This window comes from Homo sapiens, chromosome 7 (genome assembly GCF_000001405.40).
Source record: "Homo sapiens chromosome 7, GRCh38.p14 Primary Assembly".
Classification (NCBI taxonomy): Eukaryota; Metazoa; Chordata; class Mammalia; order Primates; family Hominidae; genus Homo; species Homo sapiens.
This window is the reverse complement of record NC_000007.14, coordinates 117,860,570-117,877,806: the sequence shown is the minus strand read 5'-3', so window position 1 is coordinate 117,877,806 and position 17,237 is coordinate 117,860,570. Positions and strand designations below refer to the sequence as shown.

Sequence of the window (17,237 nt, the reverse complement as noted above, 5' to 3'; positions counted from 1 at the left end):
CTCACTGAGTCAATCATAAATGCCATATGCATATTTATTAAAATCAAAAGATAACATCTTTAGTGTTCTTATTAATTCTTCGAACACTAAATTTCCTTTTGTGTTGAACAGTGCATATCCCCAAGTGAAAGAAAAATCTCAGCTGTGGTTTTGCAGCTGGATCCACACTTCTAATCAGAGGAGAAAAGGGCCTGATCTCACAACATATTTATATAGTTTTTAAACTTTCTAAGATAAATGAAGCTCCACTATGAGTAATGCCTAATGGTATAAACACCCCTGCTTTAATGATTGCCTAGTAACTATATACTGCAGGCTTGTGAGTTTGCTAAAGAGGCTGAATAAACAGAAATATTCAGGTCCATTTCCAATTCAGGTGGATAAGGGGCAAGAGCAGGCCAGATTTTTTTTTTTGTTAAAATTGTTTTTCCATAATGGTATTGCACTAAAACATCTTTCTGCACTAAAATTTACTCTTGTAAATGACTTCTGCAGATAAGCATCCAAACCAACAACTAATGATTTAAAATGTAAAAACCATGCAAGAGAATGGAACCAACACTACTTCATTGTTTGGTATTAGCTGGTTTCTGTTCTTAGAGTGACTGTACCGGGGGATGATTTTCTTAATGTGGCTCTAACCTTGCAGTCAAATCTTATATTTGTACATTATTTCAGCAATTGAATGAACAGATACAGTTCCCAGTTAAAGGTTGTATTAAAAGGGGCTGGGAGTGATTATGATAATTATTTATGTTTCGCTTTGGCTTGCTTCCTACATAGCAGATTTAATTCCCTAATTATGTTTTGCTTTAGCTTAGGTAAAATTAGCTTGCATTCCTTTGGCACACACCAACTGCAGTTGGTGGAGGAGGCCTTCCAAAACCATAGATTGTTGACAAGAGTGGCTAACTAGATTAGAATTAAATTTACTGAGTAAAATCCACAAAAAGCCTGAGGCACATGTAGCTAATGACATGTGCTATGAGGGAATGTAGTTAGGTCATAGGAAAACTTGTTTCTGGCAATGGACACTCAGAGCTCATCTGCGGAGTTCCTGACGTCAAGATTTGGGGCTTCCTAGGTTGGTCACCATGCTGCAGACAGGGACAAGCATGGTCTGCAATATTTAAATTGTATAACTATAGGCTTGAGGATACAGTCAGAAATGATTTGCTACTCAATAATTTTGTCATTTGGCAATACTAAGACATGATGACATATGGTTTGCTCTTTGGAATTAACATAAATGTTGTCATTTGACTGAAATAAATAATTCTCTTACTCCATGACGGAAAGAGTTTTAGGTTCTGTGTATATTCCTTTATCTTTTCACATGGAAGGAAGCATCCTGTTGTATCATATGTATAACTCTGGGTTTTTGGTTTAGTGGGTTGGAGGATATGGCTGATGAAGCCAAGGACATGGTTTAATCAGAAAACCACTTGGCTCCCAAACATCTGTCTGCATTCCCACCTTTAAGAACTCATTTCCCTGGTCATTTCACCCTTAGAGAGTGTGCTATAGCTCAACACAAATACCTCTATTCCAGGGTTTGGAAAATAATTACCCTCAAATTCTTTAGTCAGTGGGTCATCAGCATCGTTATGATCCAAAAAAAGGATGTAAATAATAGTTTTCTCTATTTGCAATATATTCAGTATTACTCCTTCCATTTTAATGCCAAAAGGAATTTACTGATTAAGACTCATGATTCATTTTTGTTGTAGGGATTTATTTTCCTCCTGTTTATACTTCTATCTTTCTCCTTTTTTACCCTGCCTTTCAGTAATTTTCACTGTAACCCTGGGATATCTTTTATTTTTATTATTAATTATTATTATTATTTAGCTGTTTAATGAGGCTTCAAAAGATTTAATTTCTGGAGCCATCAAGTCAATACCCTTTCACATCTATTTGCTTTGACTGTAATAGAGCCTGCCTTTGTGCAAAGAAAGTCTTAGAAAGAGTTAATTTGCAATAGTAGCAGAGACTAATTCTCAAGAGAGAATTGAAACCAGCAAGTGTCCTCCTGGTGGAGAAGCAGCCCCAGGCCAGGCTACTAGTGAGGAAGTTAACTCCTAGTGTGCCACTTCTGTGCAGTAGGTGAGATCCTCAGCCAACCTTCAACAGTGCTGGTTTTAAGGTGGAAACAGAATGCTGTCAATTCTCCTTCCCAGGTACTGGATTTTGGTGGTTAGAGAATGTGGTGTCCTGTGATTTTTATCACTGTTTTATTTATTTTTTTTCCATTTCACAAAAACAAACAAAAAATGATGGGTGGGGGTTTGCGGTGGGGGGGGGGGGTGGGCAAGGACTGATTTCCTTGTAACATGATCCTGCTTTAATTGTATTTAGGTGAATACAAGCTAATTTTTTCCCAGTGATTTTTTTTTAAAAATTGGGCTGCATGTATAAAAGGGATTTGCTTCCCAGAGATGGTGTCATTTCATATTTCTAACTCTTAACCCTGAGTAAAACTTATTATTATTATTTTTTCCAGAAGTTTGCCAGTTAATTGCTTGAGAAGTATTCAACATCAGAATCAAGAAAATTGATTGCCTTGCAATGTGTGGAAGTGCATTTTGAAAAGAACAAGGAATGCCCTTGGACTTTAAATTTTTACTATCAGTTTGACATCTAACTTTTACTGTCCAGTGGTTTTCTTTAATCTTAAAGAAATCTAGTTATTCTAATATTGAGCAGTTTTAGAGAGTATACTTAATAAAGGAAAGTGGTATAATGAACAGGGATGGATATTAAAGGGATAAGTGAGGGAGTAACTATCAGAGCCAATATAAATAAATAAATAAATAAATAAATAAGTACCTGTACTCACAGGATAACCTGGAGATGATTTCTAAGCCTCTGACTTTTAGCCCCAGAGTTCTAGGTAAAGTTCTTTCTTGACCTCTCTTCTGGGAGGGAACTTTTCACAGTTTATTAATCAATCCCTTTCAGGGTCTTTGCAGAAAAGATTTTCTCTGCCCTGGTTTGTGTCATATTTGGGTCTAATTTGGAAAGTGGAGCAATTAAAGAGTCAAAACCTTTCATTAGGAGCCTGCCATTAAAAAAAGAAGAAAGAAAGAAAGAAAGAAAAAAGGAAAAAAAAAAAAAAAGCTTTGATCTGTAACCCTTGGACTGAACATTCTAGTCATTCATCTTCCAAAATTTCAAGTGCAAGATTTGGTTGTGGTTTGATTTTACGTCTTTGAGACACAGCTTGAATGTCTCAATTTGATTTTATGCATTCGACACATTTTTAGGGATCTGGTGATTTGGGAAGGGCTGTACCATATGGTCTTGGTGAGGTGATAGATTTTCACATTCTGGAAATTGGCAGCAAAGGGTAGGAACTGAATTAGATGTGGAAAGGGAAGATTAAGCGTTTGGGCCTAATTCACTCATCTCATGAAAAATCTTCTGAGACGTGTAATTCCCATAAAATCTATTTTTACAAATACGGCTTTTGTTTGATTGTTTTTGGTGTATATGTACACGTGTCCTCACACGTAGGGAGTAATTTTTTTAAATTCTCTCAAAAGTAGAGGACATGACATTTAGCTTTTAAAGCTATGACATTTAACACTTCTCAGTTAGTCCTTCAGGAGAGATCTCAGACTTAGGGGGGTCACAGAATATAAAACAGCCCGCTACACATTCCCTGAAAAGGAGATTGTATAGAAAGTTAGGAGCTGAGGGGCTGGTGCCACGTTCTAAAAGAAAACAGGACAGACAAATCGTTTTCATCTGAGAATTGTTTTTGGAGAAACACTAGAGTCAACGATAGAATAAATCAGAGCCAGGTGTGTATATATATAGGGAGGATAAAAACACCCTGGCGGCAATGAAATTTAAGAAAGAGCAATTTAAGAAGAAAGGGGTGCCCTGTGTGATTCCTCGCGGTGGGATAGAGGGAGCTGAAGTGTAGGATTTTCCCTGATCTTTCAGAGAATTCAGATTCAGGAGGCCTGACATTTAATCTGGTCTGTGCACGGATTTCTCCGGCTTGGTTGGGGTTCTGCGGAATGCAACGCTCCTCGGGCGCTTTCTGCCTTCACCTCTTCCGTGGTCTTTGATCCCCAGTCCCCGCGCAGGGCCGCAGCGGAGCCAGGTCGTGCGCCCATTTCTCGCACCTCCACGAGCCCGCGGCTGGCGCCACCGGGCGCGGGACGCGGGGCGCGGGGCGGGACCGAGGCGGGGCGCTCCGGCGCGCAGCGGGTTAAGCGGCGAGGGCGGTGGCGAGGGGCGGAGGGAGTGCCGCGGCTCCCGGCTCCCGGCTCCAGGCGCCCGCGTCCCGGACAGCAGCGGGTTAAGTGCCGCCCGCGCGGAGACGGCTGAGTCCGGAGCCGCGGCTCCGAGCTCGCATTCGGATCCGCTAGAGCAGGAAGATGGCGACGGACGGCGCGAGCTGCGAGCCCGACTTGTCCCGGGCCCCGGAGGACGCGGCGGGGGCCGCGGCGGAGGCGGCGGTAACCGAGTTCCCGGGGCGGGCGCGGGGCTAGTGTAGACGCGGGCCGGGGGCGGCGCCGGGGTCCCAGCCGGACCCGACTTCGCACCCCCGGGGCGTTCCGTAAGCCCGGGACTCTCCGGTGCCCCTTCATCGGGGCCCCCCTTCCTCGGGATGCCCACACGGCGGAGGCCGCGGGGGGGAGCGGAGCGGCCACCCTGGCTGGGGATCCCTCCTGTCCCTTCCGCGCCCCACGGGAAGCGGCCCCGGGTCGCCCGGTTCTCCCAGCTCCCTGTCTGCGTCCAGTGCGACCCCTATGCCCACTCCCTCCGCTGCGGTCGCTTCTGGCCGGGGGAGAAGGCTGGGACGTGTTTCCTGGCGAATTTGACCCCCCATTGTTCACCTCTCGCTGCGCGCGTGGTTGCCAGCGCGTGTCTCGGGGGTGCCTGGTACCGCTCAGCGGACCCGGGAGAGCAGCTTGGGGGAGGTGGGCCATCGCCCAGCAGGTGTGGGGATGCCCATTGTGTGCATCTGGTCCTGTGCCTTCGGGAGGCCCACTGGGAGAGGGCCGTGTCCAGATGTGGGCGCTGCTGCCGCTGAGGCCAGCGCTTTAGGTCCTAGCAGCCTGCTGCCCCATTACTTGGTGGTAGTGATTGGGGTGGGGTGGATGGATTGGTTCTTCCCGAGACGATGCTCAGGAGAGGTGGAGGTTCTGCACCTGGTTTCAAGACATTGTTCTCCTTCTCTGGAGTCTAGAGGCCGAATGCGCTACCATTCTTGACTGGTCCTTACTTTCACCCCCTTAATATTCCGGTGTAGAGACTCGCTGGTGGTTTCCAGCCTCTACTTTGGGGAAGGGCTGGACCCACATTTCCTGGGTGGAAAAGGTTCTCGGTGTTTGGGAAGCAGCTTCGCAGGAGCTGCAAGGAGCTGCAGAGAAAGGCAGATCTGGGAGCGCCTCCCACTCTTGGCCAGATCTGGCTGCTCCCGCCGAAGGATGGGGTGGGATGGAGCGAGCGGGGCGTGGACGCCCCCCTCTTCCTATCAAGACCTGAGCAGAATCAGTGCAGGAGAGGGCAGGGCCGGGCGTAAACAGCGGGGGCCGCTTTAACTTCCTCCCACCCTCTGGAGGTAGGGCTTTCTGGAGAGGGAGAGGAGAGATGTGGAGGAAGGTACTTGGGGTGAGAGGAGCTGAGCCTGGCAATGGAAGGAGAAACGGGGAGGAGGACTGCTAATTTCCACTTGTAAAACTGGCAAGTTTTGATTTGAACTTTTGGGAAAATTGAGTTTCCATTCTTTGCATAGAAAATGAGAACTTTAAGATTTCAAACGAAACCTGCCCACTTATGTGAATCAGCTCCCCTCTGTGGGGCACAGTAAGGAAACTAGCTATTGAGACAAGGCTCTCTGGCAAGTGGAAATGATTTGGTGCCTTCATCCCCAAAAGGTGGGAAGGGGAAGGACGAGGAAAAAGAAAGAGGGTGTGTGTGTGTGTGTGTGTGTGTGTGTGTGAAGGGGAAGGACGAAAAAGAAAGAGGGTGTGTGTGTGTGTGTGTGTGTGTGGTGTGTTTCTTGTTCCCCAGAAAGGTTGAATTTGTTTACTTAATCCACTCAGAATGGGTTTCTGTTACCCTCAATATTTTAATCACCTGACAATTAACCCAAACACAAACATCTGACTGATGGTCTGTAGAGCTGATATATAGTTTTGTTTGGTTAGATCGTAAACAAAACCCAGGACGCCAGGCAGATTTCTGTGTTAACAAGGTCAGTGTTCCCTCTCTTCTGTTTAAAATGTTCAAGTCTGATTTTCACTGCTGATAGTTGGGGATTTGATAATTTCACCCTTGTTAATGGGCAGAGCCATGGAAAATCTGCGAAAGTGAACCTTCTTTGCTATTTCCATAGAATCCTTTAGGGTTGCGAGATGCAATAAGGATTCTTCATCTAGTAGTTTAAAAACCAGTAATAATTTCTGAATTTTTAGTAAAATTTTGATGATGGCTTTTGTAGTAAATTGGGCCTTTTATTTTAGTTCTCCAAATAGTTTTGACTTAATAAGGCATGGTTCTCTCATATCAGCCGCTTGACCTATAGACTGATTTTTAAGTGAAAGGAAAGCTAGTGTAGAGGAGTGATATGTGTCATCACAATTGCTCCTTAAAAATCAGAGGCGTTTTATGCATTTTGGGTTCTTGTTGACTGATATTTTTTATTTTAGTGAACAATTCACTTTGCATTTTGGAGATTTGTTGACTTTCAAATTGGTTTACATATCGTGCATTTTTATGTATACATTTGGCAGTAAGGAGTCAATGGAAGCTCTAAAGCAGTAGGCTATTTTTGAAAGTGAGTGTTTTCACTAAGCTTTGACTATTTAGATTGTTGCTTAGAAACAAGCTTAATTTATAGTTTTCAGTTTAATATCATTTTTAGTGGAATGTTTTAAATTTAGTTTGTGATCCTCATTCTTAGCTGTTTAAATCCTGAAAGCATCCCAAGTTTAAGGCTGGGTAACAGCTACATTATTCAATAGGATCATATTAATAGTCTTTGCCGTGAACCGTGCCGGGAAACCTGGGCTATTTTCAGTGCCTTAGCCAAATGTGATGACTTTTATAGGCCATATTGCTGTTTCCACTCTGAAAATAACTCCTAATGGATAAGGCAGTATGGAAAACGAAATCTTCATGCTTTTTATTGTCACCAAAGAATTTTGGAATGAAAGGAAAATGGAGATCTTTTTAGAGCTATATTTGGGAAGCCAACCAACATTCTTGTCATTCTGAGCTTTTCTGGAGCAGCTAATAGACAAGAAGTAGGTATAAAATTTGTTGTCATGGTGGCAGTGACAAAGAAAAACTTGGACAATGATTTAAAATGCACGACAGTGATGTTAAACAAATTAACAGCTGAACTTGAAATTTTTGTTTTCCAGGTGACAGTATTGAATGTAAATGCACTGAAAAGAACTTTCGTAGCCAATTGCGCTAAGCGTTTTTTTAAACTAAATTATAGTTACGTGGCAGCTATAGAATGTTGAAAGTGTTGCAGCTTAATTTTTAAATAGGAAATAACGTAGATTTAACACACATTACTGAACACTTACTGAGATACAGGCATCATGAGTATGATCTTTGCTACCCTAAAGTAATACATTCCAGTGATAGAAACTGACATACGCCAAGGAATCAAATTGGGGATGATGGTGTCATGAGAGGCAAAAATGATTTTGCATTAGAAGTTTGGAGAGGAACAGTCATAGAGAGGGTCCCTAGTGGATGGATCTAGAAACTTCCATAGAAGGATGACATTTGAAGTAGTCCTTGAGACTGAAGGAGGATTTGGACCGGCACTGCAAGAAGGAGTGTGCAAATGTGGTCATATCCTAGGGAGCCATATGCGAAGGGTTTTCAGTGATGAGCATAGAGGTTCCCATTCTGGTCTCAGCTATATGGTTCAGAAAAATAGCTTGGAAGTTGAGGAAATTGACTGGAATATTTTTCCAAAGATGAGAATATAACTGTTTTCAGTGTCCTGCTTTTCACTCTTTTTTTTTTCTTCTTAAATAATAGGTTGTAGATTTCTGTTTGCCCCAGTTTTTGAACTTTATTATTATTGTCGTTGCTGTCATTGTTATTGTATTTCTCACAGCAGCAATTTTGTTTAGAGAACATTTGTCCTCTCAGTGATTGAATCCATGCCTGGGCTAGATTACCAGTTGGTTCTATCCTTGTGTGTTTCTCATAACTTTATGAGGTGAGAAAATGTTTCACAGCCTTGGTACTTAGACATTTACAAATATCTGCTGTTGATCATGTGGACAGGAAGGCTGTGGCTGGGAGAAAGCAGCCTCCTCCTCCGAGGAGAGTTGTGTGAAGTTTGTAAAAGAAAGCAAAGGTGGTTAGCACAATGCCAGGCACATGGTAAGTGTTCCACAAATATTTACTGAATGAAGAAAATGAAAAGAAGCTCACCAAGAAGCTGTGTCATAAAATTTAATGTTGATTGGCTAATTAGAAAACTCACTTTGTGTGTTACCAGCTATCTTATAGTGAAATTATTGGCCTGTGACTTGTAATAATTAATGTTATAGATATTATAGATCTTGATCCAAAAAGATAACCCTAATTCTTTTAAAATTTTCATCTTAATACTGCCGCTTTCCAAGCTGCTTTTCTCAATGACTTCTTAGATTCTTTGCAGGGGTTTTTTAAAAGTTTAATTTCCAACACTATTAGTTTTCTCTTTAGATTCTCGCTTTTCAAAATGATGATTGAGGCTGCACCTCTACCATCCTGCATCCTTCCAATAATAAGAGTCAAGGCCACATCACCCATTGGGGTGTGGAGGAGAGGATGATTGATAGGGGGTTAAGAGAAATGTGGGGAAGTTTGGAAACAGGAAAGGGGAATAAAAGGAAAGAATGGGCAGGAAAAAAGGAGTTTAGGCAAGGCTTTAGAATAGTCTGCAATTTCACAGAAATGTGGGACTGGAATTTCAACTTTGAATGTGCCTAGGAAGGATGGAGCAGTATCCCCCAACTTCATTTACTTTGCTACCCAGGCCTGTCTGAGTATTGCTTTAGAAGGATACTTTATTTGAACATACTCGATTACATTATTCTCTGTTGGTGCTCCTTTGCAAAGCTTATGTAACATGGAAAAAGATTTGTCTTTTCTGTTGGTAGTTAGGTAAGGAATCAGAGGACAGGTACGAGAGACGATGATGATGACATCGATATTGAAAGATTTTTAAAATTTTAATGTTTTAAATAACTTACACAAATAATGAGATCATATTATTAATGCCGTGTACAGCATGATGCCTTCCATATAGAAATCCTGATTTTAGAGTAGGGGGAGATACTCTCTTTAAATAAATTGTTAGTAACCAACTAATACATTGGGGATCAGTTTAAAAGGTTATAGTAAATGTAGAGTAGTCGAGGTAACATTGCTGTGTAGAGTGAGTACTTGTTTGCAGATGATTTGGTTTTGACATTTTTATATTTCATTGAAAAGACAAGATGGTTCCAAAGGCCTGCGTCTTCATCTGGCCCAGCCTTTTCATTTGAAAATCAGCGTGCAGATATTTGCCACCTACAGATAATCAAGACTATTCTTTAATGCATTGTAAGCTTCTTAAAGGATGGTTATTACATTTGAATGTCTGCTTGCCTGTGGAGCTGATCCATGTCCCATGTCGGGCTGATGTCACATCGAAAAACTGAGTTAGGGTGAAAATAGATGTTTGTTTTATTTGAGATGTAGTCCTTTTTTTCCCTAAGGAGGAAATAGAGACTGCGGGGAGATCTGAAAGGAGGAAAAGGGAGGTAGCTGAGCTTAATTATCAGAGGCTGTCACCCCTGAGCCACTTTTCTGCCATTCTTTCCAGCTTTCTCAGCTAAAATTAGTTACATCCATTACCAGGTTTCCTTCCTGACATTGTTTCCTTGTCAGTATTACCTCCTTTCAATACACTGAGTTTCTTGTCTTGCATCAAAGACCCCAGACAGTGTGGTTGATTTGAGGTGCATGACCTTGGAGAGCTGACACCAAATAGATCTCATGTTCTCGTACTATATGTTGTTTTAAAGTGGAACATCAAGCAGCTTCCCTAGTTTAGGTTACTCTAAATGATTTTTGAAACACTGAGAGAATCATCTAATACAGTTACTTAGTTCCCCCTAGAGTGGGCTGAAACATTGTATCTTAGTAAGATGGATGTACCTGAGACATCCTTTGCACACTTTCTGTTTTCATACTGTGTGCAGTAGACATTTTATACCCAAAGTGTATATGGTGGGGTGGGGGCAGGGGGAGCATGTTGGATAAAATAAGTGAAGAAGTAATGTTCTTACTGTCCTGACACATCTAGTAGGAGTGAGAAAATAGAGTTAATAGAGATAATAAGTTTACTATGAGGAAATGCACAAGGCCGGACATGATTAACTGCCAAGTGAAGTAATAGAGCAGATTTTAAGACTGAATGGCGAGAACAAGAGATTTCTGGAGTCTGGAAAGACATTCAAAAGTGGGTTTGAGCTATGTGCTGAAGAAAGATAGTACCCAGATGAATCAGAGGAGAATGGAGGATTAGGAAGAGCAGCATCAGAGGTATGCAACCCCATCACAAAAATTCTTTCCTCCTTGTAGAGAGAGAAATCGGGAAGATAATCTCAAGGCAAGAAGTAACTTCAGAGATTTGAAAATACTTTGAGATCTTGAGAAGTATGTACTTTTCTTCATGAAAACCCTTACAATTAGCTGAATTCTTAATATAGTGCATGTTCTTATGTACCTAGAGAGGTGAATTTAATATTTTGCATGTCAGTGATACAGCCTTTGCATTGTGATGGTGAACTTTCAAGTTGATTTCATTGCTTTTCCTTTTTGATAGCCCTTATTCATCCCCAAAGCATAAATCTTGCTTACATAGAAAGTTCTAAATGCATTATTATTGGCATGCACTATTAAACTGGGAGGAAAATACATTTCTCTAACTTCTGAGCAAAGAGGCAAAATCAGTTTTCCTCAAGTACCTCACAAACGCTTTTAGGCTCAGGAAATGACCTAAATGAATTTCCTCAGTCCAGTAATCCAGTTACCCTGATGGTACATGAAATCAGGACATTTAGGGGATGGGGGAGATTTAAGAGATCACTTACTCCAGCATCCTTATTTTTACTGATGGAAAACCTGAGATTCAAACAGATGAAATGATTTGCCCTACTTTGCTGATTCTTCCCTAGCCACATTGCTCATCACCCCACCTTCCAGTCTGCCTGCTTTCTCCTGTGTAAAGCTTACTGATGGAAAATAGGCACAACCTGCTGGATTTTAAATTGGAAGAGAGGCTCTTGGTGTTGGTGGGAAGAGCCAGAGAAAGTGCCTGAGTTTGTGTTTGGTCACCAACATATCCCCCAGCAGCCCTGATAGGACGGATGTGTTTGAGGAAAGATCTGAGGGGTGTCTCTGCCATTGTGGCTCATAATGTCTCCTGAAGGCATTCTGATAATCAATCACTGTTGGTTGGTTCCACTAATTCTAAAAGGGTATGGGTAAGACTTTTCTGTTAATATTTAGCTGTATCTATTGAATTCCCCACATAAACCTAGTGTTTTAGATTTGGGGAGGGGGAAACTTGGTATTGGCCTGTGTTCAATTCTGGAAATTTAAGATGAGTTTACTCAGCCAGGGTCTGTTTTGTCTATTCTGTCTCTTTCTCTCTTTCTCAGCCTGTATGAGAAAAAATCCTGAAGAATGCCCTCCCCACGCTTGCGCCAAGTAATTCAGAGCTGTTCAAAACTACAGTGTTGAACAGTTGAGTTTGGGATTATTTCTCCTTTTCCATTTATACATAATATACTATATATATGTATATATTATATATATAATTATATAAGTATACTTTTTAATTTTAAATAAATTATATATAATAAATTGTAATATACAATAGATTAACATACAATAAATTAATATATATGACTTGTATCCTAAACAAGACATACTTTGATGACCAGATTCTGGATTAGTTGAAGCTGCCATGCCAGATTTTTAAAACTAGGTGTTAAGCACTTTTTCTGGAATGCTTTTCCTGGCAAATGTAACAGGCAGAAGAGTGGCCTGTGGAATTGAAATCTGTTTTTCTATTTTTTCTTTTCTTTTTTTTTTTTTTTTTTTGGAGATGGAGTCTTGTTCTGTCACCAGGCTGGAGTGGCACGATCTCTGCTCACTGCAACCTCTGCCTCCTGGGTTCAAGCAATTCTCCCACCTACAGCCTCCATAGTAGCTGGGACTACAGGTGCATGCCACCATGCCTGGCTAATTTTTTTTCTTTTTTTTTTTTGTATTTTAGTAGAGACGGGGTTTCACCATGTTGCCCAGGCTGGTCTTGAACTCCTGAGCTCAGGCAATCTGCCGGCCTTGGCCTCCCAAAGTGCTAGGATTACAGGCGTGAGCCACCGTGCCTGGCACAGGTCTGGTTTTACTTTGTTTTTAGTTTCTTTTCATCACTAAAAAATAGCTGGATTTTTCTTTTTTAATTGGGAAAAGCAAGTTCAATAGTAAACTTTAGTCTGCGAACATGTCTGCTGTGATTTTTTTCTGGGGGGCGTTGGGGATTTGGGGGTCATGTTTTCATGGTGCCCTGATAGAGACCTTAATTTTTTTGTGTGAGTGGCAGCATTTGAATCTGTCCTGTCTTCTATCCAATTTGAAAATTAGATTATCAAGGCAATCTTTTATAAACATTATATGACTTAAAATAGTTCGTTTGGCTCTTAAACCAAGAAACTTTAATATTTTTTCTATATCTAAGTACTTTTGTACCATATGCATCTAAGATTAATGCCACTTCATATATATATGAATATATATGAATATATATTGAATGAATATATATGAATATATATTGAATGAATATATATGAATATATATTGAATGAATATATATGAATATATATTGAATGAATATATATGAATATATATTGAATGAATATATATGAATATAGAATGAATATATATGAATATATATTGAATGAATATATATGAATATAGAATGAATATATATGAATATATATTGAATGAATATATATGAATATATATTGAATGAATATATATGAATATATGTATATATGAATATATATGAATATATGAATATATATGAATATATATAAATATATGAATATATATTCATACATCTAGATATATGAATATATATATTCTAACAAAAATGTAGTTTTTGTTAGAATTTTTGCTTCTGGGGTTATTTTTCTAAAAATGCTAAAGTGCTTTATATTTATAAAATACTTGGAGTCTTAAGATCTCCAGCATCTTTTCATGCACAGTACTTTTTTTAACCCTGTTTTGCCAGAATAGAATTGGAAATAAAAGTTGTTGACAATTTGAAAATATTATTATTATATTTGTACTATGGAAGGCCAGGAATTAGTAGAGAAATTTTACTATGACTAGTAGTGGAGAAGTGGGGGTGGAGTCATAGAGGGAAGAGAGACAAGCAGACAGATGCACTGTATGTTTCAAACAGTACATCACTTCATATGTTGTGATGGGAGACAGATTTATTTTTAACATTCTGTGTGACATAATCTATGGTTTAGCAAGAATGCTTGTACCAATATTTTTTATTTTAATGAATTTCCCTCTTTATTGATGGTAATACATAGAAAAACAGAAGTTTTAGCTGTAGGTCACATGTGTTGCTGCTACTGATGGAAGCAGGGCAGGCTCTCCTGACTCTAATATGAATCAGGATCTTGGCAATGTCTTTCATAATTTATTAGTTTTTAAAATGGAGCACTTTGCTTATAAAGCTTTGGAGAAACAAGACAATAAAATATACAATTAATTAAAATCTTTAGAGCAACCAGCAGCATCATTAATAAAGCATTACACTCTAAAGCACATAAGAATTGCAGCTTACTCTCCCATCTCAGTGGGAAAAACCAGGATAAAAGAGCCTGTCTTTCATCATAGTGAATAAACTGAGTTTATTGGACTTGGGCTGGTAGATTTTCAAAGAAATAGGCTCCTGGCCAATACCCCATTCCTCTCTACATGAAACATCTGGGTTAATAATAACAATCGCCTGCCTTCATTTGGCACTTACTTCATTGATATGTTCTTGTTTAATCCTCACAAGAATGCAGGGTAGACGTTAGGAATTCCATTATACAGATGAGAAAACAGAGGATGGCATGAGTTACAGAAGTGCTCCTCACCATGTAGTCCGTGGACCAGCAACATCAGCAGGAGCTTGTTAGAAGGGCAGATTCACAGCCCCACCTCGGACTCACTGAATCACAATTTCCAGGGGTGGAGCCCCGTGGCTTGTTTTTTCACAAGGTCTTCAGGTGATTCTTATGCATGCCAATGTTTGAGAACAATTAGTTTATAAGACCTTATGGACACTACTGTGTAGTAGGAGCAGAAACTGAGACTTGGTACATTGGATTTTACTGTTCATAGGGAGCATCTGCAAGAAATCTCTGAAGGATGGATTCTTCAGAACTATACATGATTTATGCTTGCTATAGATTTTCCTTTTCTCTTTATCCTTAGCGCTTGCCTTTCCAAATAACTTCTCTGTCTAGTGTATATGCAAAAAGAAATAATTTTAAGAGAGAGATCCTTTTAAAACCTTTCTTGAGAGAACCCCCTAGCTCTAGTCTCTTTCCCCTTTGTACCGTCATATCTCTTTCCAGAAGATTATTTTGAAACTTAAATGTGACCATTCTGGTCATGCCTGTTTGAAAGCCTCTGAAATCATTTATTGTCTTTGCTATGTATACTTTTGTGTCTTCACAGAAATAGACCAGTGTTCATGTTGGCTGACTGACAGGATGGTACCATTTTTATCTCATCTCAAAGAGCTTATTCTAGAATGTTGGTGCCATGCCGGTAAAGTGTGAAGATAAATCATGGCATTTGATCATATATCCTGATTTTACCATTTACTGGTTAGTTGCATGATCTGCATATATCATCTGACTTTTCTGAGTTTCTATTTTAAAAATGGAGGTGGCAATATGGTGTAAATTAGAGTCAATTCTTTGAGAATACTTTGGAAGCCATTGGGTGCTATGCAAGTGTGAAGTAATGTTCTGGCATGTTTTGAACAATGGCTTCTGAGGGCGAGTCTACAGAGAGATTTGGGGATAAATGTTGTGTTACTCTTCCCTGTGATGGTGACTGAGCTTGTCAAATGAGTTTGTGTACAGAAGGGAGGAGCAGAGTGTGCCTGGTGGAAGGATCTCAGCCTTTGGACTCACCCAGGCTGACTGTGAACTTGCTCTCAGCTTTATCTCTAAAACGAATGCCAGAGAACCTACTTGTAAAAGTTGCTATGAGGAAGGTTGGAGTGGAAGACAAAAGAATCGAGAGTCAATGGTATATTCATGGGATTTAAAGCCATGAGAGGTTGGATGCAGTCACTCAGGGAAGAAATCTACAAGAGAAGACAAAAGGGCTGGAAGAACCTTGTGTGAGAAATTATGAACCACCACACCGCCCCCCCACCCCACCCCACACCTAGGGCTCTGGTGCTGACTTTGTACTGTAGCTGGGTCCCTGGAAGGCTCACTTACTCCAGCCTCAGCTCCCTCCCAGGCCTGCCAAGAAGCTACAGAGGCATTCATAAGAAGTCACTTTGATAACCAAACAGCAGGGGTTCCAAACCCACCTGACTATGGCAGCCCAGATGACCACACATGGATGGCAGTCCTGGCTTCTTAAAAGTGCGTGTGCCTGTACTGTGTATGTGTGTGTGTGTGTGTGTATGTGCTGGTGAGGGAGGGTTGGCAACATGAGGAATGTGTTCCTTCTAAAGGGGCAGCTACTTCCTGGCTCGGTGGATTATTGCCCTGAGGAAATATGAATCTGGAGTTACCCAGTCATCTGACATTTAAAGACAAGCCAGGGATCTGGATTTTTTGGTGACATCTTCAGATTTTTTTTAATGTTGGCTAAATGAAAAACAACAACAACGACAAACCCACTTTGTGACCCGAGTAACACACATCTGTGGGCCAGATTTGGCTGCCAGCTGGTGGCCTCTGCTGCAGAGTGTATAAGCATGACCTATTATTATTGGATGTTCTGGAATTTATAATAACCTCCCAGGAACCTTTATGCTGGGGCCCTTCTAGGAATACATCCATGCTTTCTTTGCTTCTCTTGAAACTCCCCCACTCCCCCAAGATGTACCAGACCTGTTTTGCCTCAGACTCCAGGGACTTTAAATTTGTGCTATGTAATTTGGAGAGATTTTGAGTCTGGGTGTGCAGGCAGGCTGGGCAACTATAGCTCCTTGGAGAGGAGAGTTGAGAGATTGGCGTTATAGTTTTTACCTCTCCTCCTAGAAGGTCAAGGCGTAAATTGTCTGCTGCAAATAGTACCCCGGTGCCTGCTGGATCTGCCGAGCCACTGGGATAAAACTGATTCATTGCATACCCTTAGGATGTGTGTGTCTTCCTTAGGAAAAGATTTTTCATGGCCTTATTTTTTTATGTGTTACAGAAAAAAGAGTTTGATGTGGATACTCTCAGTAAATCCGAGCTGCGGATGCTCCTCAGCGTGATGGAAGGGGAGCTGGAGGCCAGAGACCTTGTCATCGAGGCCCTGCGGGTAAGGACGACACAGGAGTGGGTCTCCATGCTGGATCATTTGCTTTTTTCAAAGAGCCATTGGCAAACCTTCTTTTTCTTAATTTTTGAATCAAATAGATTTAAAATGTTACATCAGGTCAAAATGTGCTCTTCACCCCAAACACTAACCCATAACTTTTATAAGCCCAAACAAACACTGAAGTCAGATGGTCATTGAAATGCTGGGGGCCGAGACGAAACTGTTTAGTACGGGAAACTTGAGGAGTCAGCTGTACTCGTTCAGAAATCCTTTTATGTTTCACATGTTTATTTGGTTAGAAACGTGTTTTCAGAAAATTGCTAATTTGGTATCCTACATGTATGTGAGGGCAGTGAGGAAAAGTTGAGGTTTATAAAAAATATTGCTGGTAATAGATATTTTTCTTCCTATAAAAATTGTTATTTTTTTATTTTTAGAAACTCATGCATTAAAAAGTAAATGTTTATCCATACCTTCAAAGTGTTAATTTTTTCTGGTCTTTCAGTAATTTTGAAATATTTCTGTAATTGCTTACAAAGAATATATTACTTAAATGTCTCAATAAAATTTTCTTTTTGAAAAAACAATGGTGAATCCCAGCACTTTGGGAGGCCGAGGTGGGCGGATCATGAGGTCAGG

General features: G+C 40.6%; 1 protein-coding gene across 12 annotated transcripts in view; it reads left to right on the top strand.

Annotated features, from left to right (window-relative positions):
* CTTNBP2 (cortactin binding protein 2) overlaps nt 4,366-17,237 on the top strand; it is a 162,791-nt gene continuing 149,919 nt past the window's right edge. For 7 of the 12 annotated variants that reach the window (NM_001363351.1, NM_033427.3, XM_017012706.3 and 4 more), the window contains exons 1-2: nt 4,366-4,472; nt 16,491-16,598. Coding sequence is in view for 10 of the 12 variants with exons in the window: in NM_033427.3 (NP_219499.1) it covers nt 4,392-4,472; nt 16,491-16,598 (189 nt within the window). In the remaining 2 variants the exon portion in view is untranslated. The other 5 variants (NM_001363350.1, XM_024446963.2, XM_024446964.2 and 2 more) reach the window with 4 other exon arrangements.